Source organism: Homo sapiens, chromosome 2 (assembly GCF_000001405.40).
Source record: "Homo sapiens chromosome 2, GRCh38.p14 Primary Assembly".
Classification (NCBI taxonomy): Eukaryota; Metazoa; Chordata; class Mammalia; order Primates; family Hominidae; genus Homo; species Homo sapiens.
Genome location: NC_000002.12, coordinates 46,009,100 through 46,032,792, shown reverse-complemented (window position 1 = coordinate 46,032,792; position 23,693 = coordinate 46,009,100). Strand labels below are relative to the sequence as shown.

At 42.3% G+C, this 23,693-nt stretch overlaps 1 protein-coding gene across 23 annotated transcripts in view, besides 1 other annotated feature; it reads right to left on the bottom strand.

The window, feature by feature from the left end:
• Positions 1-23,693, bottom strand: part of PRKCE (protein kinase C epsilon) — a 536,712-nt gene that overhangs the window by 155,198 nt on the left and 357,821 nt on the right. For 18 of the 23 annotated variants that reach the window (XM_005264428.2, XM_011532980.4, NM_005400.3 and 15 more), the window contains one exon: positions 22,276-22,449. In XM_005264428.2, coding sequence (XP_005264485.1) covers positions 22,276-22,449 — 174 coding nt within the window. Of the gene's footprint in view, positions 1-4,322; positions 8,467-13,646; positions 22,110-22,275; positions 22,478-23,693 lie in introns of those variants that run through there. The other 5 variants (XR_007078551.1, XR_939695.3, XM_017004492.3 and 2 more) reach the window with 5 other exon arrangements.
• Positions 16,942-17,580: an enhancer, noted in NCBI's record as "NANOG-H3K27ac hESC enhancer chr2:46242352-46242990 (GRCh37/hg19 assembly coordinates)". NCBI's record gives its function as "activates a minimal SCP1, AML or CMV promoter by ChIP-STARR-seq in naive H9 embryonic stem cells {active_cell/tissue: H9 hESC(naive)}" and the evidence as "EXISTENCE:reporter gene assay evidence [ECO:0000049][PMID:30033119]".

Genomic DNA, 23,693 nt, shown 5'->3' with positions numbered 1-23,693 from the left:
CATGACTAACTAAAGTCATTCTTAAGAGAAAATTATGGAGAGGATTAACATGCTTCATCCCTTTCTCTCAGCTTCCTGATTAGGACCTTCTAGAGTTACATAAATCACTTCTTGCTCTAGCCAGCCTGACTCCAAGCATCAACACACCATTGTTGCCTGGGCATTTTTTCAGCCTAGCCAATAAAAACTCCCAAGTCATCCTGGAACTTTTGGAGATGACTGAGATGCAAGAAAAAAAACACGGTAGACTTTAACAAACTGTACAACTGGGGACAACCAGCGGGAAGGTTTTGGAAGGCTGGGGGTAAAGAGGTGGCCTGACCATAATTAAGGGCAAGTCCTGCCAGCAAACCCGTGCCCATTTTAAGAGAGGGATGGCGGTTTTCCCAGGCGGAAGCTGGGTGCCAGGGCTCATTCCATAGACAAATGCTGTCCTCTCTCCCCTCCTTAAAATGAACATTGTCAGGAACAGGAAGGGCACAGGCGTGGTTCTGGAAAGATCTCAGTTCCAGTCCCAGCTCATCGTTTGTGCCTATTTCCTCATCTGTCAAAGAAAGATATCCCAGGACCCTGCCTGTCGCAAAAGCACCATGAAGATAAAGTAAGATCATGGACAAAGGACTTTGTAAAGCAATTTAAAAGTTGTATGTGTGCTACATGCCAGGCACTGTGCTAAAGGCCATACATGTTTTAACTAAATTCTTGCGGCAGTCTTCTAAGGGAAGTATTATTTCCACTGCGCAAAGGAGAACACCAGGATTCACTGGCATTGTTAATATTTGCTGGAAGTTTAAAAAACCAAATAAATGTCTGAAAAGTAAATGTTCAAAATGAGATACCCTATTGCTAAGAGGCTGTGAGATGAGTTTGTGTGGGTGGGAAGAGGTTAAAAAAATAAGTTCGCATTCTCTCCCATGCAAATTGCGACCAGTTGGTAGGGGCTGTGAGGAGCATGTGGGATATTCAGGATTCTCTAGTCATGGGCTGAGAGGAGGAGCATGATGGACTAGCAACTTGACGGTAGCTGCTAAATCAGCCGATTTTAGTTCCAGAAATGACTCCTGCTGGGTGTAATCACACTGGCTTTCATTACCATCACTGCCACAGGATGCATGAGCATTTATGAGCATTTTACTCTGGGTAAGTGGGTTTTTTCTACACACACACACACACACACACACACACACACACACACACACACGAGCAGAATGTAAAGGGGTAGAAGACTGTGTGTCTGCCTTTGGGTACTGACAGTGATTTTGGGAGATAAGACTTTTGTGCATAGAAATCTAAATAGCTAGTCGTGGTATGTATGCTGGCTGCCAAGAAAGAAGGAAAATTAATAAATGCTACAGGGATTTGGATGAACTGAAGGGTTTGTGGAAGAGGCGGGATGTGAGATGATCAGTGGGAGGTCAGGACAATCAAGGGGCATGGCTGGGGCATCTCAGGCAGAGGGAACAGGCAGGAATTCACATGCCAATGTTTCCAGAAAGCGGGCAGTGAGATCGAAGACAGCAGGCTGAGAGCCAACAAAGGAACAAGGAGATATTGACATTTTATTTTGCTGGGCATGAGTGGTGCTCAAAGTCTCAAAATACGGTCACAAAAGTGGGCAAGTTCTTTTCGTTTATTTGTAAAGCTCCTTTCCCAAGTGATTTATTTCAAATAAAAATCTAATTGGCTATCCCACTCTAATCCATTGCTTCAGTTACTATCCAAAGTAGTATTTAAGGGAAATCCATTTAAATATTCATCCCTACTCACATAGAGCATGGTACATCATTCACGACAGAGTTGTTTAAATATAGAATGCACTCCAGGTAACAAATGATGTATACAGGACCGTGCAAGACACTCCAGAGAAGGTCCCACCAATCATAAAAGGAAACACGTAACGAAAACTGTCTTCACGGAGAAGAAATATTCCGTGGATGACCAAGACTGCAAGGATGTTAGAGTTTGTGGTGCAGGAATACAGGGACTATCCCACATCACACAGGGCTAGGAGAAACAAATGGTGGGTTAGAAGGTGGAAAAGGGAAAAGTCGTTTAAGCGAATAATTCCTTTTCGTTGGGACATAATTACAAGTTGCTACAGGGAAGTATTATGATAGCAGCAATCCTAAGAGACATTAATTTCAGAGACCCTGAAGGTAGCAGCTTTAGATCTTATGCATCCCCAAATCACACCTGAAAGATGCAATAGCTGTTCAGAAGTAACAGCAAGAGGGAGGAGGGACAGGACTTCAGAATCCCCAGGGAGGGGGGCATGGTGGAACAGCCACATGATTTTCATGATTTTGTCTTCTGTCCTTTCAGTCTCTCCCTCTCTCTAACCCCCACTACCAAGTTGGTATTTGGGACCGCCCCACTACTTGGGGTATTCTGGGAGGACAGGAAAGACTTAAACTTAGCTAGGGAAGCAGGAAAGCACTCCAGAGTGCCCCATGTGGGTTTAAAGGACCTGGGGGTTAGACAGGAGGTTCACATCTGTTGTATGGATGAGAAAATAAGCTTGTTTTTCAACAAGTCTGCTGTCTTTCTGAGTGTGTCTATATCTGCAAGGTTCTCCAGTGCTGTCTTCTCCATGTTCAAGGTGGATGCCTAGAATATTGTCCATGTTCTTAGACTATGGAGACAGCAGTGAGGATGCTGCCCTCCCAGGATGTGGGGATCTCAGGGAGTGATCAGCTCAGTCACCCAGCAGTTTTGCAAGTGAGGCTTTTCATTACTCCCTGGTGGGAAATAGCTTAACTTTCTAATGGGTTTACAGAATCTTCTAGCCATGTTTTGCGGGTGGGTTTTTCACCTTGCGTCACAGAGAGGGTATTTAGAAGAAAGGACAGTGTGGGAAACATTTACTCAGATACACAGCTTGGGAAGAGGATCATTATTCATGGAGTCTTCTGGTACAAGGACCCCAGCAAATGCCCTCCAAACATCATTTCCTCCTCCACTTACATTTCAAAAAAAGCTGCAGGAGTTTGATATTTTCTTAGTTTCCTTTTCCTGACTCCCTCTGTACAGGATGATGTAGTTGTTTACTTTAAGGCTCAGGAGTCAGCCAGCATTGTATGAAAAGCTTTCCCACAAAAAAAAAAAAACCCATACGACGACAAACCCCTTTCCCTGATGTTTAAGCAATTAGCGATGCATGAACAGGCTTGCTTGAGCTCTTGGTCTAGGACCTGCTCCTTCTTCCTGTTGCAGGAGCCACTCACCCTGGGACTGAGGGATACAGGGAGGCCTTTTCATTTCACAAAGGGTGGCGTTAGTGGGGGCAGTGAACAGACAGGATCTTCATTGGTCCCACCTCCAAGCCACTTTTGTGGCTCCCCCTGCTGTTCACCCCGGTGTCACATGAAATTCCAAACCTCAATGTGCTTATCCATAAAATGGGGAAATAAAAAAGTTGTGGAAAAGATGAAACCACCATGTAAATTTAACATATTATCTGAGACAGCACTGTAGAATGATGAACACTAGGACAATGGAACAGAAACTGCCTTGGTTCAAATCCAATTCTACCACTTCTTAACTATGTGACGTTGGAGAAGTCATTCTACCTCCCTGTGTCTCAGGATATCCACCTCTCAGGACTATTGCAAAGATTAAGTTAATCAACATACGTAAAGAGCTTTAAAAAATGACAGGTATATAGTAAGTGCCATAAGAACATTAGCTAAGTTCACAATAACAAAGACGTGGAATCAACCTAAATGCCCATCAATGATAGACTGGGTAAAGAAAATGTGGTATATACACACCATGGAATAATATGCAGCCATAAAAAAGAACCAGATCATGTCCTTTACAGGGACATGGATGGAGCTGGAGGCCATTATCCTTAGCAAACTAACACAGGAACAGAAAACCAAATACCACATGTTCTCACTTGTAAGTGAGAGCTAAATGATGAGCATACATGGACACATAGAGGGGAACAACATGCACTGGGGCCTGTGGGAGTGGGGAGGAGGGAGAGGATCAGCAAAAATAACTAATGAGTACCAAGCTTAATACCTGGGTGATGAAATAATCTGTACAATAAGCCCCCATGACACAAGTTTACCTATGTAACAAACCTGCACATATACCCTGAACTTAAAAGTTTTTAAAAAGAACATCAGTTATTATCATTCTTGGCTTATAGAAAACACTCTATAAATGTTAGTTACATTTACGTATGTGATGGCAGCAAGGAAAGCTGTTATTTTCAACCAGTGGTGGCAGGTGGGGAGGGCAGCACAGTGAGTGCTATGTCCCCTATAGAATATGCCAGAATCTAGAAAGAACACACACATCTACAGTTTAAAAGGTTCAATTTATAACATCACTTTATAGGTGAAAATGGAAAGATAACTATGGTTTTCATAATACAAACTGCCAAATGAAATGTTTGGCATCTTCTTAGTTATAAAACATGGTTTAAAAACATGTTGCAAAACACAAATGTTGTGGCAGTGAAGAAAGTTTACCCCCCAACTCAGAGCTGCTTGCTGAAAGAGTGAGGCTGGGCTAGGTTACTCTTTAAGAATCCCAACCTTCGGCCGGACGCGGTGGCTCACGCCTGTAATTCCAGCACTTTGGGAGGCTGAGACGGGCGGATCACTTGAGGTCAAGAGTTTGAGACCGGCCTGGCCAGCATGGCAAAACCCCGTCTCTACTAAAAACACAAAAGTCAGCCGGGTGCAGTGGTGGGAGCCTGTAATCCCAGCTACTCGGGAGGCTGAGGCAGGAGAATCACGTGAACCCGGGAGGCGGAGGCTGCAGTGAGCTAAGATCTTGCCACTGCACTCCAGTCTGGGCCACAGAGCCCGACTCCATCTCAAAAAAAAAAAAGAAAAAAAAGAATCCCAACCTTCAAGAGGGAGGTCCCCCAGGGTAGGTGGAAGGTGGGCCAGCAGTTCTGTAGATAACCCCCTGGTCTTGAGCCCCATCTTGGCCTTGGTCTTGGAAAGAGGATAGGGACTACGCTTCATTCTTCCAGCTAAATAGGCCATGGGACCAGTCACCACACTTCTTGTCCTTGAGACAGATCATACTGCCAAAAGAACAGGAAAATCGAAACTTTAGTGGCAAAAGAATGATACACAGAGGTAGTGCACAAGCTCAGTTTTTTGTTAAAGTTCGAATTTTTGGAGAGCATGTCATCATTTAAAATGCTAGTGCCTATGACAGTTTGGATGCTTTCATGTTCTTGTTCCCCTTCCCTGCCTTATTGTAAAATATACCTACGAATGAGAATATGTAAAATATGCATATGCATTTTAAAGATCAAATAAGACTCACTTTTAGCTGTGACCCACCTTGACAGATAGAACATGGTTGCTGGCCTTTGAAACCCCTTTAACTCTCTTTAATTGCAACCTCTCTCCCCATCCTCATTCAGTCCCTATTTGGACTTCCCTGGTAATCATGATCTTGTTTTTCTTTTCTTTTTCTTTCTTTTTTGAGATAGGGTCTCACTCTGATGCCCAGGATGAAGTACAAGTGGTACAATCATGCTTCACTGCAGCCTCAACCTCCTGGGCTCAACCTACCCTCCTACCTCAGCCTCCCGAATAGCTGGGACTACAGGTGTGTGCCACCATCCCTGGCTAATTCTTTTATTTATTTTTGAGACAGGGTCTTGCTCTGTTGCTCAGGCTGGAGTACAGTGGCATGATTATGGCTCACTGCAGCCTTGACTTCCTAGGCTCAAGCGATCCTCCCACCTTAGCCTCCAGAGTAGCTGGGACAACAGGCACACATCACCGTGCCAGGCTAATTTAAAACAATTTTTTGTAGAGACAGGGTCTCACTATGTTCCCAGGGCTCAAGCAATCCTCCTGCCTTGGCCTCCCAATGTTGGGACTACAGACATGAACCACCACACCCGGCCCCTTGCTTTTCTTTACAGTTTCATCACCCATGTGTTTCCTCCTAAGAATATTGTTTAGTCTCGCCTGTTTGGGGGTTTTATAGAAATGGAAATATGCTACATGTCTATTCTGGGACTTGCTTCTTTCCTTCTGTAGTCAGCTGTGTATCTTTTAAAATTACCAGCTCTTATGCCTCAGATCTCTGTGTTTAAGGGGTCTCATTTACTCTCTTATAAATCCCCTTCAAAAACATCCCTTAAACATCCCAAAAACATCCCTAAAATGTCATGACACAGCAAATCGACCAATTCATTCTGTTCTCTTGGATACAGGTTGTCAACCACATTTAGGAAAGCTGTGGCCAGTTCCTCACCTTTTCAACCTAAATATTTTCTTACATCAGAGTGACACTTTTGGTAGAATTAAAGATCAGAGAAATGCATTCAAACCTTCTGCATGATACCATCTTCCAAAAAGGTAACATTTCCACCACTACATTCTTAATGTTTCTGCATAGTCTTCTACGCTTCTTTCTGATTTTGTCTAACTGCCCATACTCCCGATTCTTGTCCTCCTCTACCCATGAAGTCTAAATGTCCCATTCTAGAGAATTGAGATTTTAGGTTTCACATCTTTACCTTAATCTTTGAACCATCCACATAGCTTTTATACCCTCTAACTTCGTATACTCTCCCCATGAATGCCTATGTGCTTAGACTGCGCTTTTTACTCCCATGATCCTGCAGACTGTTAGTACCATTTCCTACCAAGGAGAAAGGGGTATTTGAATATCTGCATTTCATGCTCAATAGTGTCTTCAAGATTTGAAAATTAACAATTAGCTCAAAGAGCTAAACAGAATCCCTCCTTCCTGGGATATGGATGCACAAGAATCATATCTATTGATCATTTTCAGCTTTTGGAAGGCCCCAGTTTGCTTCTGCCTATGGCGTCTACCAGGTACTGACTTCCAGTGTTTACCTAGTACCCAGGACACAGGCTCACTCTGGTTCCCATAGTGATGGGTCAGTTTGCCCTCCCAGAGATTAATGTGGTTTAAAGCAGCAGAGATCAACACTGGCCAGGGAGCTAAATGGATCTGAACTACACAAACATCCAGATCTGCCTTGGACAGGGCTTGCTCCTTTTCACACAATAACAACCCTACAAAGCCAATTTCCTTGAATCAGATGGGACCTTGCCACTGTGCTCCTGTGGGGTAGGTGGAACCCAGGGTTCTTATTCCTGTGACAAAGTCCCTTATGAGACAGCGAGAGAGTGACAGAGGGAGAGAGTGAGAGCAAGGGAGAGAGAGGGAGCACATGAGCGTGTATGTGACCCGGAAGGGGCACTTCAACGCTTGTGCCTCAGTTTCCTCCAATTTGTAGGAGTATACCTACTAGTCAGCCCACTCATCTCTTCCTCTGATTTTCATTCTCTGGTTCACCTATTAGCCTAACCTCCCTAGGTGGACCAGCAGTTCTTTGAACAAGGATTGTGTCTTTTTCTATCCCTGGAATACCTGATATTAAGTTGAAGACATACCGTACCAGGTACTAAAAAAAATACTGGTTGTCTAATGTATACTGAAGCAGAACACTTCGTCCCTGGCTGGGGGTGTGTGTTCCAGATGTCTTACGTTCCCTGGTACTGCTCCTGCACAGCTGTTTTTTAACACTTCAGGGTTCAGTTACTCTGCCTAGCACTGCTGCACCTCAGTCACCACGTCTGGCAATCCAAATGGATCTTGCCAACCCCGGGAGTTCTCTCGTGAATTCTTTTGTAAACATTTTATAATAGGAGTTAGCTTTTGCAAGGTCAACAATCACACCTACATTTGTTTTTTTTTACAGTCAAATTTTCGAGCTTTCTTTCAGTGGAGCCTACCTATACTTTGTGAAGTGTGTTTAATCTCTGAGTTATGTACATCAAAAGATACTTCCTAGATCTTTAAGAAGCTCTCCCAAGGGAATAAAACTCTGGGCAAATTGGATGGTAGAAGTATTTCACCATTCATGACAACGTGTTTCCTTTGGTTGTGTTGGTATGTTTTTAGTGTTAACACTGGTGAATCTAGAAAGTTTTCATAAACTGGGGCTTGATAAAGGAGGTTGGATTTAAACTCTTACCTGAAAAAGAAAAAAAAATACCAAAAACACATGGGGATAGGTTGGATAAATGGTGAAAGAAACACTGAGAACAAAAGTCATTTTCCCCATTCACTCTCATCCTTGGACACTTTACTGGACCTTCCACCCTCCTTCTGAAGTCCAGGGAAGGCCACAAACTTCTCAGGCCCAAATCTGTTAGCACCAGCAGGCTCAGCTCTAAGAGCCAGAGCCAGGTAATAAGCTTAGCTTCCTAGCAACCCGCACACAAGTGTTCCCGATAAAATGGATTACATACTGCTGATGAATCCCAGGTGAATATCATACTGACCCAACAAAGGAATTAATTTGTACCTCCTGCCACACTAAGGAGGCGGACTGAGAGAATTCTTTTTGCCCATGATCCTTCCTGGCATTCTCCCTGGAACGTCATGGTAAAAACAAAATGCTCCAATGAGGTCAAAAGTGGAGGCTTCAACTTCCTATTGCCTCTGCAAAAAAAAAAAAAAAATGTCCTCATAACAGGAAGCAGAGGGTCTGTTTTTCCATCAGTTGCTTTCCCAATACAACTCAGATTGCCTGGAATACCACCCTTAAAGAATTACTCCAGGGTGCCCTGGGCAACTCACGTAAGTAGTTCAGTCACCCCAGTATAAATCAACCAATTGCCATTTTATTTACACCTTGGGCTCTTGGGACCTTGGTTTATCAATCCTCAGGAGGCTAATCTCCCCTGGGCATTCAGACAAAATGAGGTTTCTATAATAGAAGCTAGCTAACCAGGTTTGAATTTAGGCTCTGCCGCTTCCAGCTGTATGATCCCTCTTTGGAATAACAGTCCTACCTCATAGGGTTGATGTGACGATTAAATTAATACGTGTAAAATGCTCCAAGTTGAACCTGGCATGTAATGAACACTATATAGAAATTCCTGCCATTTTTGTTATTGAGCCAAAGATGACCCTGAAATTGAAGGTGGTGACTGGCCCACCCAGATGGCCCCTCTCTCCTTTCAGGCTACACCAGAAGCCTCCAAAGACAAACCACAGGCAGTGGGGGGCACAGTTCTGTCCAAGTTATTATTCACTGGAACCGGTAACCTCCTCTTCACACATTTGGAAGCCAGCCCCAATTTGTGACCTCCTCCTCAGTGACAGGAAGGAGACAAAGGGCCCAGCAGGAATTCACTGGAATCTTGTGGCTAGCCCTAGTTCAAGCTATGGGTCAAGCAGTAAGAAGGAAGGGCTATCAAACTCCTGAGGACACACAGCCAAAGATGTTATCCTCACATTAACCAGCTGTAGTTCTAAAGTCATAAACAGGTTATATAATTAAGAAACAAAAGTGCTACCACAAAGCATTCATCTTCTAGCTGGCATAAACTTCTGGGAAAAGGGGTGGCTGTCAGTCATTTCTTGCTTGATGCCCTCCTGAACAGGCACTTGTGAGATGACTAAACAGGTTACAGGGTTGGCCCATCGCTGTTGTTACAGGCAACGTGTGCCCAGATTAGGGGACAGGTAATACATATTTTCTCTTTATGAAATGAGTGTGCCAGGGGTCAAACCTACCAACAATGGTAGACTCAGGTAGTCTCAATTCTGTTTCACAAACAGTTGGCCAACTGGCCAGAACAGGCCATCATTCTAGGCAAAGAGAAACATGACAAAGCTCTCAAGTCAGCTTGGGATCTATCTATATAGATGATTTTTTTTTTTTTTTTTTTTTGAGACGGAGTCTCGCTCTGTCGCCCAGGACGGACTGCGGACTGCAGTGGCGCAATCTCGGCTCACTGCAAGCTCCGCTTCCCGGGTTCACGCCATTCTCCTGCCTCAGCCTCCCCAGTAGCTGGGACTACAGGCGCCCGCCACCGCGCCCGGCTAATTTTTTGTATTTTTAGTAGAGACGGGATTTCACCTTGTTAGCCAGGATGGTCTCGATCTCCTGACCTCATGATCCACCCGCCTCGGCCTCCCAAAGTGCTGGGATTACAGGCGTGAGCCACCGCGCCCGGCCGATGATATTGAAACTGTTAACTGGATAAGACAGAAGCTAGAATTTATTGAACCTTCTGTGTGCTAGAAACTATGCTGTACTTTAAACAGACAGCTATAAAACCTCCTGGTAAATTTTCTGATGTAGGAGCATTAGTCATTGAAAATGTGTTTGAGTTTGGAACCCTGATGTAAAATAACAGCCTTGTGAACACAGAGGCTTTGATCAAGGTAGAAGCATTTGCTGAATTGAGCTTTGAAAAATTCGGGTTACATGGGTGAAGCCCATTGCTTCAATGGAGTTGTCTCAATAGACTAGGTAGAAGCTCCCTACGAAAGGCCCCATGTGACTTTCCCTGTAGAAAACACCACTAGACCACTAAACAGAAGGACTGTTCACTGACTTTGTCATTGTCCTTGTCTCACTCATGCATTAGCAACAGGTAAACCTGTAGTGATACCATGCGTATTTCCCAATGAATTGCATTGTCACAGGTCTTTAGAATCAGATTCTGGAGGGATCGTATAGGTCATGTAGTTGAAACTCCCCTCTCTGTGTCCTCCCCACATCTTTTATTATGAATGAGAAAAGTCAGTGCCCAGATAACTGTCTCAGAGCAAGCATCAGTGGCAGAAGTCACAGCTAGACCTGCAGTTTCTTGACTCGTGGTGCCTTCTTTACTGCATCCTGTGTTTCCCACACGTCAACAGGGCATATGTGAACCCAAACAGCTGAATAGGTTGCACCTACCACCCACCAAAGTCTTCAAAATCAGAGCATTAGGAATCATCTGGGTTGTCTGAAGTATTTCAGACCACTAGGACAAAAAGTTCGGGTTATATGGGGAAAGCCCATTGCTTCAATGGAGTCATCTCAATAGACTATGTAGAAGCTCCCTATGAAAGGCCCCAGATGACTTTCCCTGTAGAAAACACCACCAGACCACTATCAAAATTCAACACGAATCTAAACTGGACACACACACACAAAAAGGTAAATTCTGAAATCCAATAGATGGCGGGCGTTGGGGAGAGGTGAGAGAATCTGACGTCAGCCATGAGGAAACTGGCTTTGTTTGGTGACCGGGTTAGATAACTTAGACCTCTAGTTTTAGATTTCAAGATGAAACTTTTTACTTAAATTGGATCATGATGTGCCAACTGAACTGTGACCAAATGACACCTTAGAAATGTGTAGATCACCTGCTGCAACTAGCAGCAACTTAAGTTCTTGTTTCTAATCGGTAAGGGGCTACACAATTGACAGTTTCTAAGTGCTAAAGGGAGGACTATGCTTTCTTCACAAGCAGGAGGCCTTTGCAGATGCAAAGGGGAAAGCGAATGGCCACGTCAGTGCTTCCTGCAGAAGTTCTTCCCCACTGCCTCTGGACTCCTGGCCTATTGAAATAGCCTGCTCACAGATATCTCTGCTTTTCATTTTTCCTTTTAATGCAGGCTACGCAGAGCTGTCAGGCTATGATTTAAGTCATCATTTCCCACAATATCTTCAAGGAATCCCCCTTTACTTCCAGAATAAGTGCAAACTCCTTGCCTAGCAGAGTAAGAACTCCACAACTTAGCCAGTACCTCCTCACAAGGTTGTCTTCCTCACGGCTTCCTAGCATGAGCCTGCAACAGCAGCAGGACTCATCATTACACTCGCTAAATCAGGGGTCTGTTCCTGCAAATGCCTCCTGCCCCCAAACTCACTGTGCCCTGCCCCCCAATGCCCCAGCATCCACCCTGTTCCACAGTGGCCCTTCTCACCCCCAGGAGGCAAAGGTGGGGATCCCAGCTTTATCACTTAACTCCGTGTGATCGTGACCAAATGGTTAAGCCTCCCTGAGTCTGTTTCCTTAGCTGCCCAAAGAACTGGCAACAATACCTACATCCCATGGGACTTGGGTAAGATTGATGAAATCAGCTTTTAAACAACTTGGATAGGCTTGCCACATAATAGGTGCTCAATAAATACGTCTCTCCTTCCTCTTTATCACATACTGTCTTTATTCTAAGTTACTGTTTGCTGTGCCTTGTCATATCTCTCCTTCCCAGTCCCTGTTATCTCCCAACTGTGCCTCAAAAGATTCTGACGCAAATTCTCCTGATCAATGAAGTAGTGTGACATCCCAGTTACATTCTATCACAGGCCTCTACATCTGTCAGCAGTGAGTCAAAGGTTTAAACACACACTTTTACACATCAGCAGGCACTTCTGTGCGTGATCTAAACAATGAAATATGTTACTGAGACAGAATACCAGAATCTTGAATCTGCTTCCAAAATTCCATTTCTGCCCAAATCTCAGGAATGTGCCCATTTTAATAATGAAAGGACATTTGTAATGGAGACCTTCAGGAAATGACACCTGTATACATTAGATTATAATATGGGTAGGTTAAAAAAAAAAATCAAGACTCACTCCAGCTCCCAGTCAGAGCTGTAGTGGTTTTAAACTGTTTTCAAAGTGAAATCCTTTCTTCAAATGTTATCTTCCTTGGAATGCTAACATGTGAAACAGTCGGACATGGAGCTGCACAGCCAGGTGGAGTAGGTGGTGCGTGTACATCCTCCTCTAATAGCGCATACTGGGTCTGTGTACCCAGCTCCCACCCACCATACACTGAAGCAACAGAGGCACCTCCACAAAATGTAATTTGAAAACCAACAGCTTGGCCGGGCACAGTGGCTCACACCTGTAATCCTAGCATTGTGGAAGGCCGAGGCAGGCGGATCACTTGAGGTCAGGAGTTCGAGACCAGCCTGGCCAACATGGTAAAACCCCATTTCTACTAAAAATACAAAAATTAGCTGGGCCTGGTGGTGCGTGCCTGTAATCCCAGCTATTTGGGAAGCTGAGGCAGGAGAATTGCTTGAGCCTGGGAGGCAGAGGTTGTAGTGAGCCGAGATTGCGCCGTTGCACTCCAGCATGGTGACGGAGCAAGACTCCGTCTCAAAAAAAAAAAAAAAAAAAAAGAGAAAACCAACAGCTTTACAAGAAAAAGCAAACAGTTTAGGAGAATGGGTAAATATATTCCTTAGTGGTAAAAAAAAAAATGCCTCCTAGCCAAACAGTGTACAGGAAGTCCTCACAATGTCATTGGTAAGTTCTTAGAAACTGCAACTTCAAGTGAAAAGACACGTAAGGAAACCAGTTTTACCATAGGCTAATTGGTATAAAGAAGAGTTAAGTTCCTAAGTATACTTCTGGCTACAAAAACATCAGACTTCTAAGAAAAATTATTTAGAACACTTTGAATAGTAAAACTGAAATAACACTTCTAATATTAAGCACTGAAGTAAATGTGAGCTATACATATGTTTAAGAAAGATGAAGAAAAATGAGTAAGAGCATCATTTACCCACTTGCTGCAGTTCAGGGTTATGGGTGGGTGGAACCTCTCCTGGTAGCTCAGGGTGCCAGCGGGGAACCACCCTGGACAGGACCCCATCCCATGGCAGGGCACACTCACGCACACCCACACTCAGATGGGGACCATTTAGACACGCCAATTCTCCCGATGTGCATAGCTTTGGGATTTGGCAAGAAACCGAAGTCCCTGAAAAAAAACTCATACAGGCATGGGGAGAAAGTACAAACTCCACATAGTCAGTGGCCCTGGCCAGGAATTGATATTTTTCTCATTAATGTTATAAAGAAATGACATTGAACAAAATCAGGTTATTCAAAGACCTGCTGTATACACACATATTTAATGTTAAAGACATTTAAGTCTTAGTTTGCATTATGTCAATGCCAAATAGGTTATTTACATGTTGTACTCAGGTTGATGTTACAGAGAGAAATAAAAATAGAAGGAGGCAGTTCTGCTGCAGAGAGCGCAGCACCATCACTGGCCAGCACTGGGCAGAGCATGCGGTCCATTCACTGCTAACATCAGCTGGGAGGAAGCCAGGCACTTACCAGCCACCTGCAACCCCCGATGCAGAATGTCTACGAGACGCCCTCAGATACTGTAGAACCCTAGAAATCATTTGGCTGAAGAATATTTAGTGACAAGGAAAATAGCTCTACTATATTACTAAGTGAAACAGTTTACATAGAGTATGATACTGATGTTATAAATATATATGTATGAACAGACATGTACTTTTCTAAAACTGGAATGATACACATCGAAATGTTAGTAGTAGTCATGTGAATTGTTCTTATTTTCTTTTTTGTCCTCTTGTGACTTTTCCAAAATTTCTACAATTAATAAATAATCTTTGTGATTAAAACACAATTTACAAAAGAAGATCAGGCCAACAGTTTCTGAAGGAAAATAAAGCACTGAGTTCTGGGCACTGTATAGAGGCCAGAAGGGCTTTTTTTAAAAAAATTTTTTTTTTTGAGATGGAGTTTCACTCTGTGGCCCAGGCTGGAGGGCAGTGGCGGGATCTCGGCTCACTGTAACCTCTGTAGAGGCCAGCAGTTTTACGCTCCCATGAGGCTTCAAGTTCACAAGGCCGGGACTCCTACCTACCTTTCCCCACACCTGTGTTCCTCAGCAGGCAGCATGGCGCCCCATGATGCCCCATGGCACGGCACATAGCAGGTGCTCAGTAAGCAATGGCTAAACAGACAAGTGTGAGGGCCTCATCCTACTCCAGCCCATTTTGGATCGTTCCTGTGCCCATGCCCCCTTTTTCCTCCTTTCTCTCTTACGCTTTCAGAAAACAGAAACATTTCCAGAAACAGGCTGATCAACCCTGCTCCTCTTGCCAGCTTAAGGGACATTAATATTTTTTAATCCCAGCCTCATTGAGTTCATGTAAAATTGAGCTGACACCCCTTCAGACCCTTTTTCATGTGTGTGACAGGAATTGGGGAAGAGGGGATTTGGAGGTGAGGCTATTTGAAGTGGAGAATTTGGACAGGAGGACAGAGAAGGAGACAGAAATACATGGTGAACAACAAAGACTGTTGGGAAACCTTTATTCCAATCTGGGTTCTGTTGCAAACAAATTATAAGACTTGACTGGGCCTTGGTTTTCTTATCTGTAAAAATGAGTGACCACAAATCACTAGGGAAATGCACATTAAAACTATAATGAGATACTACCTCACACCCATCAGAATGGCTACTATCAAATAAAGAAATAAGTGTTGGGCAAAGTAATAGAGAAATCAGATCAGAACCCTGGTGCACTGTTGATGGGAATGTAAAATAGTTCAGTCATTATGGAAAACAGTATAGCGGTTCCTCAAAAAATTAAAAAGAGAATTACTATATGATCCAGGAATCCCACTTCTAGGTATATAGCTAAAAGAATTGAAAGTAAGGCCTCAAAGAAATATTCAGACAACCATGTTCACAGCAGCATTATTCATAGTAGCCAAAACGTGGAAGTCAAAATGTCCATCCATAGATGATAAGTGAAATGTGATATTATACACATGATAGAATAGTATTTGGCCTTTAAAAGGAAGGAAATTATGACATACGTTACATCATGGATGAACCTTGAGGACATTCTGCTAAATGAAATATACTAGTCACAGAAAGACATTATTGTATGATTCCACTTATAAGAGGTACCTAGAGTAGTCAAGATTATTGAGACTGACAGAGTGGCTGTTGCCAAGGGCTGTGGGGAGAGGGAATAGGAAGGTACTGTTTAATGGGTATTGAGTTTCAGGGTTGTAAGGTGAAAAGAGGCATGGAGATGGAGAGGGGTGATGGATGGACATTATGAATGCATTTAATACCACTGAACTGTACACTTAAAAACGGTTAAGATGGCACGTTTTATATTATGTGTATTTTACCACAATAACAAATTCCGAAAAAAAAAAGGGGGAGTGAATAACCATAGAGTATGGTAGGTGAATTCATAGAGACATCATTAGGCAGTTATAAAATGGCTGATCTAAGTCAGGGCTTTTTTCTTTCTTTTTTTTTTTTTTTTTGAGACAGAGTCTAGCTCTATTGCCCCAGGCTGGAGTGCAGTGGGACGATCTCGGCTCACTGCAACCTCTGCCTCCTGGGTTCAAGCGATTCTCCTGCCTTAGCCTCCTGAGTAGCTGGGATTACAGGTGCCCGCCACCGTGTCCGGATAATTTTTGTATTTTTAGTAAAGATGGGGTATCATCAAATTGGTCAGGCTGGTCTCGAATTCCTGACCTCAGGTGATCCACCTGCCTCGGCCTCCCAAAGTGCTGGGGTTACAGGCATGAGCCACTGCACCTAGCCAGTCAGGGCACTTTTAAAAGCAAAGGTCCTATTCAAATGTAAGGTTTCCTTATATGCAAAGAGGTTACACGAAGCTGCAGCAGTTAGATTAAGAGCCAACACATCCTTCTCTGCCCCTGGGACACATGAGCATTAACAAACTCCACAACTTTTCCTTTATCACACAGAATGAATCCTGTTATGCTTCAAGACCTGGGTGAAGTTGTCTTGCTCCATGAAGCCTTGCTTGATCGTGGAAACCAGTGACGATCTTTCTCTGACCGGCCAGAGAACCGCCAGCTCATCTACACAGACACACGCCACCACACACATACACCCGTGCATTCCTTCACAAGAGAGTAGAGCTTACCCCTCAACTAGTTTGACCAAAGGTCCTGCCATAAAAGTCTTGTCACATCTTGCAGTGATTTGCACACCATAGGTGCTCACTAAAGATGTGTTAATTGGCTGATTAGAATAAATGGCATTGCTGTCCAGCCCACTATCAAGCAAAGATGGTCTTCAGAAGTAAAGAGATGGACTTCCCTGGAGTCTGATTCTATTAATAACTGATTCTGCCAACACTAAGCCTGTAACCTCTACCACGGATCTCATTTCTCTAAAATCCATTGCAAATTACTGAGGCTATCTCTGCTTGTAATCTGTTACTGGCGAGCATATTGATTCCCAGGTGGCTGCCTGACCCACAAACCAACTCATTGTGTTGAGCATCTCAATCTCTTCTCGAAAAGCACTCACCAAACCTGCTCACACACTCTCCAACTCCTTCGGAGTAGTAGTGGTGCCTCAGGTAGACAGTATGGTCTAGCAGGAAAGAGACCCATCCTCAACGGCTCTGTCAGCTCGTTTAGATTTAATCTGACATAGCTGTCTCTTTAGAACAAAATCTACCAATGGCCTAATTTTTACTTCGTTTTTTTTTTTTTTTTTTTTTTGGTTTAGTGTTTCTGTTCTTCAGAGTTGAGTTCCTTGAAATGACACTTTTGCTCCTACGTTGTTAACACTCCTTTTCTCACTTCTCCCCGTGCTCACACAGATGATTCAAACGCATTTGAAAAACGTCTCCCGTTGCTTTGTAAGGATGTTTCCATGCTGCATTTTCCCTAGGGCAGCAAGGGAGATTGGCTAAGGGAGATTCTCTAGTTCACCCTTTGTTTCCTTTGCAGCAAAGCCCTCCAGAATTTGGCTTCCCAGGCCTGGCAGGAAATGCCAAAGGGTGGGGGATGGGTAGAATTGTGTAGAGATGAAATTTTTAAAGAGGAAAAATCATGAAATTATTCAAGACAGGTTTTGTGGGATCCTGTTGGAGAGAATGGTTTCAACAATGGGGGTCATAAATACAAATGCACAGACTCTAAAAATCTGGGAATTTCATTTCCTGTAACTTCCAGAAAAAAAAAACAAAACTACCTCTCAGTGGTTCTCCTATCCCTTGTAGTCAATGCCTGAATGGGAACCTGGGAACTGGGAGAGGCAATTCCAAAAGTCACTTCCCCCACAAACCCTGACCAAGCCCCTAAGTTTTAGAGCCTAGCAGTCCAATAAGGAGGGCTCACAGCATTACCTCCCTCCTCTACCGATAGGCATCTGATCTTGTAGATGCAGGAATCTGTCTCCTTATTTTCCAAATACCCTCCCTTTCTCCTCTTCCTTCTTTGCTCTGGTTTAGCCATTATCATTTCCTTGGAAGAAGTAGGAGATAGCATTGGTTGGGAGTTCAAGCATTGGAAAAATAATACAAATGAGATTTGGAAATAATTTCTAGGTTTCAGCAGCCATGTCTTTACCCCTACCCTCTTGCAAATGCCACCCATGCTTCCAGGTCCAGGGTAGGTTCTACCTCCATCAGGAAACCTTCCTGACTGCCTCCTTGCATGTCTATCTCTCTACTAGGCAGTAATTGGCATGAGTTCAGAGTTGGTATCTTTTAGCTTTGTAGCCCTAGAATCTAGCACAGTGTCTAGCACATAGATGCTTAACAATAAAGACTTGTAATTGAAACAATTATAGGCCATAATTTTTTTATAGCAAGAAACAACTGTGGATGTATAAAAAATTTTTTTTCTCATATGCAAGAAAATATTAAACACTACTGACAATGTTACCCACTTAAAAGTCTTCTAGAATTTTTAAATATAAAAATTTTGGTCTTTCATTCACATCAACAGATACAGTTTTTTGTGACTATGCCAATTTTGATAAGCTGATAAGCACCCTACCTTTATAAAATAAGAATTATGTCCAGGGATTTTTAGTTGTAAGAGGGAGGACCTGGGACGAATGTGGCTACTTGATCTTGACTGGAATTAGAAGTTCTTTATTCCTCTTTCTGTACTTTATATTTTGACAGTAAATTAAATCAAGTTTGGTAGAATTCCCTACATGGTTCAGGTTACTCTTGCATCCCAAAGACACACTGGTTTGAATTTGACTGAAATTAAAACCACTGGCTTAATTTGTTGTTCTGTCTGCTTTTTCTCACTAGCCCTGGAAAGCTGGAGCCATTTTATTTGCTTTTTGCCTTTCTAGATCCCATGGAGCGGATGGAGCACATGAGCCAAGGGTAGGCGGGCTCAGTAAAGAAAAGCCCAAATCTCTCTTCAGCTGTAAGTTGGCCCTTCACTGGGCTGCACTGACCAGACCTGAACCTGACTATGTCATCATGACTGATGCCAATGGGTTCATATGACCATTGCCATTGGTCACCGTATTAGATATGGTGACATCACTTTACACACTTCTGAGTCTTTCCAGGCAACTTGTATGTAGTGTGCAGTCTGAAGCAATGTCTAATCTCTCAGAAGAAGTTCTCAAAGGAATGTTTCCAAAAGGACCATTTTTTTCCGATATATTGAAAAATAAAGGCTCACCTAAAAATAATTAAACTCGACTTAATATTATTGCTGTTCTGTATGTCATAATTAAACAAGCATGAAAGAAATCTTAATAGGATTGCAATCGGGTCTTTGTGTTCCTGAATGTTGTATCAGAGTCTTAGTGGAAACCAGGTTTAAGGTGGCTCAGAGGAACTGTCCTTTGTTTTCAGGAAAAGTGAAACTCAATCAAGACTGAATTCTGTGGCTACCAAACCCAGCTGCTATTCCCAAATCCTGTCCAAATCCTCTCTACCTTTCAAAGCCTGGCTTGATCGCACTTCTTCCACTAGATCGTAGGGAAGACCCCCTCCCCTGAGTCTTCTTGGTTTGAATACTCCCATCTAGAACATAACTATTCAATGCTGTTTGCTACTCCCTCTTAGCTTGTGGAATTTAGAATAACCTCCCAATCTATTATCAGTGAATCCTTCCACGTGAGAACTGTCTTCCTTTGGTTAATAACCCCAGCATCTACCTCAGAGTCAGGTGAATAATAGCTACTCTTTAAAACTATGATAAACTGTTGGTTTGTCATAGGGAAAGTCACATTTTTAAAAAGTTAAGTTGAAGGTTTATAAGCTGATTCTTCATCAGGTTCCTTTCATAAGTAAGTTAAGATCCTTCTATGAGGTTAAAATATGATTCAGTTTAGAAAAATTCAGTGAATATGCATCTGTTACATAAAGCTAAGTATTCTATGAAACTGAGGTGGCATGAGAGAGTTGGTGCAAAGCTGCTCCTGTGACTGTGGCTGCCTGACAGTGGCCTGAGAAAAGATAGTAAATATCTGAACTACAGAGGAAGCTCCTTCTCTGCCCATCCTCACCCTACAGCCATCCATGACAACATCCATGTTAGCTTGATCACTGTTCTGCCATAAAAGAAATCCCTGGTGTTATTCAACACCATTTTGTGCTCCAAAAGCTGCCATATGATGAGGAATCCTTAGCCTTGTTATTCTACAACGCACAAAGGAGAACACTGCTGACATTGAAGACATCCATTCCCACTCCCTCACTCATTCACCAAGCTGACCTTCAACGTGGCTTCCCATGATCCACCACGTACAGGGGCTCCATAGAGCCCTCACAACTAAACTGGACCCCTCCTAGGATGTTGGGCTTCTTGATAATGGTGTAAAGAAAACTTGCCAGAGTGGCTCCCTGCCTGGAAAGCCACCTCAGATAGTGAGAGGGAGGGCTACCTGCTGGGGACAGGGGGAAGTGGGAGGGTTCCTCCAACAGAAGGGACCCTGTGCTGGATCAGGCACAAGAAACTAGCAATGTGAATCAGAGCAAGGCCCCACTACCTTGGGAGTCCCTGAGACTAGATGAGATGCCAGGTCTGACTCTGCCAAGATGGAGTGCCTATGAGCAAAATAGTTTTACTTCTCTGAAACCCAATTTTCTCACTGGTACCAAAAGGAAAGAAAAGAAAAAAAAAAAGGAAAAGAAAAGAAAGGAAAAGAGAGAGAGATAAAGAAAGATAAGGTGACTTTGAAAAAATCTTCCAAGTCTTTGATTCTGTCCGTGGGTACCTGTCAAGTGTGAGGCCCTGTGATAGGCACCATGGAAAATACAAAATATGATACATTTCTCATGAATCTAAAATTATGCTCTAGTGGAAAAAAGAAGAAAGTTAACTCCATCACTGAGTCTCTATTATTCAGGATTCTGTACACACACAAACCCATAAATATTAGGCATTACACAACACACATGAAAAATGAGAAGAGTTAGTAATTCTTATACTTGTGCAGAAAAAGGGATAGATTCCTATTAAATAGTGGTCTCTGAGGAAAGTTTCGTAGACAAAGAAATATGTGTCCATCTTGAAAGATAAGCAGAATGATTTCCAGATTTTCAGACGATATTTCTTATTCTCCTGAGAGATCAGAAGGATAGGAAAAATTCCACTGGATCAGGGTTCCTCAGTATGGAATGGGCATTGTGTGTGTGTGGGTGCATGTGTATGTGTGTGTAAGAGAGAGATGGGGGACCCTGGGATCAAATAAGTTCGGAAAAGTAGATTAAACAAAGGTAATTTTGTTTTCATTGCAGGTCTCCTCAAGGATGCTAATAAACATACGTGTGTTGAGACTAAGAGAGGTTACGTTTGCAGTGACTCCAACTATGGGTCACAGAGTCCTTTCTTCTTACAGCTGCTCAAGTGATTGGGGTTCTGAGAAATCCTCTCTGGGAAACGGTGTACCAAAGATAATGTAAACTCCATGAGGTCAGGGACTAGTCTAGTTCACCACTGTATCTCCAGCACCTGGCATGGCATCAGATACACGGGAAGGATATAATGAAATATAATAAAAGAAAAGTTTGCCAAATGACTCAATGAATAACTATTGAATTTTAAGTGGAAAAACTGGCATTCAAAATGACATGGAGATGAGAATACACCCAGAAGCAAGGTATCACCTCTCCATGATGTCACCCTCAGGGTCTGGGTTCCACATAAGCCACAGCTAGGAGTTTCAGGTGATGTCTGTCTTTGCCTTCTCAAGAAGCAAAATACTACAAACATCCATAATGATCCTAAAAGACTTTAACTCCTCCCAACCCCTCAAAAAGGATAACAAAATTAGAGCTTCATGAAGAACATTGCTGTTTCTTTACTAAAAACAGGTAACAAATTAGTTAATAATACTCGAGTCAGACTCTACCATGGAGTTATGGATTATCTTTGTTTCTTTACTGCCACCTTCTGGTTCCCAGACACCTATGCGGTAAATTAAAAATGCTGCCTTATATTTGTGTTTCACTATGAAATTTTAAGCATTTGTTCACATCCTTTATTTCAGATGACATTACACAGATTAGAAGAGATTAAGGTGGCCTTTACTCTTTTTCATATGACATGAAAATAACTTAGAAGTTAAGTGATTTGATTAGTGATAGAAAGTTAGGAGCAGAGCAAGGACTAACCACACTTGTTGGTTTTTCCAATGAGCAAACAGTGAGTTTAGCCATTTGGCTTTGTCCAACTCTGGCTGCAAAGAATTCTACAGCTCTCTCATCCCTTCACAAGCACAACCTTGAATGGAAAATCCTGTGCCCTAAAAAAGAAGATGCTGTTCAAATACATCCTGATCTTTTCAAGGGTAAAACCCATCCCACTTTACAAAGTCTTTGAGAGAACAATGTAGAGGGTCTAAAATTGGTATTTTATCTGATAGTCAAGATGCCCCAACATGGCAGCCAGCCAGCTTCTTCCTAACATACCTTGGTCTGGAAGCAGCAGTAGAGTTGGGTAAGGTACGGGTGTTTCCGTGCCAGAGCCAAAATCCTCTTCTCTGTCATTGTGCAGTCCACGTCATCATCCTGAAGGATGACGTCCTTCTTTAAGACCTTCACAGCATATACTTCATCTTTGCCCTTGAGTTCTGCCAACATGACCTGCAATCAATCAATTGCCTCCATCAATCTATGCATGTATGGAATAAAAAGAAGAAGTGTAAGCTAATACCAAATACTTCAAAAACGAATTCTGTTTTTTCTTTAATTTTAAATATTATAACAAGCCTGGTGTGGTGGCATGCACCCAAGATACTTGGGAGGCTGAGGTAGAAGGATCATTTGAGCCCAGGAGTTACAGATCAGCATGGGCAACATAGCAAGACCCCCTCTCAAGATGTATACATAATGTTTAAGAAAACTTCCTATTCTACAATTACTACCGTTCTACAGTTACTACATTCTAATAGTTACTACAATTTATTTATTTTTGATCTCTGGCACAATGCCCAGGCATAGAAAAGAGAAGTTCAATGCACATCTGTTGAATGGTTATTCATATGTTTATATGTGTTTGTCATACTTACAATTACAGTACACCAACTATTTTTACAGTTACAGTACAGTAAAATAATGTAACTATTTTTAACTGAACATTATCTTACAGACATTCTCCATATGGTCTCCATTATTATCACGGTTGCTTATACTCAATTCAAGTAAATATAATTTATTTAACCATTTCCCTCAAATTAGGCACTTCAGTTATATCTAATCATTAAGTATTATATAAGTTGCATTGAGTATTTTTGTACACAATTAAAACAATTTCTCTTGGATTACATTTGTAAGATGGAAACCCTCATAAGTAGATTAAAGGGTGAAGCATTTTGCACATTTCCTATTTTCAGAAAGGATGTGTGATACAATGTGCCACTAGCAATGTAGAAGTGTTGGAGTTTCATGGTGACTTACCAATACTGAGTAGTTTCACTTAAAAAGTATTTTTGCTCACTTAATAGGTGTGAAATGTTACCTTGATGCTATTTTTACTTAAAATGAAACTTTAAAATTAACTGTTTTCTGACTGTATTTCTTTTCGTGTAAATTATTCACGTCTCCTTTGTCTAATTATGCTGCTATCATATTAATTTCTTACAAATTTATACACATGTGATATATAAAGATACTAACCCTTTACTTTCTGTAAAAGGTTTTCTAAGCCTGTTTTATAATTTTCTGTTATTTTATTCTATTGAAAAGAATCATGTATCTTTATGTAGTTGAATCTGTCCTTGTTTGCCTTTATGGTTTCTTTTATAACTCTGAAGCTGGAAACGTGATTCCTTTTCAAGAGAGCTAATTAACAGTTCTATGTTCTTAAAGTGTTCCTATCATTTGATATT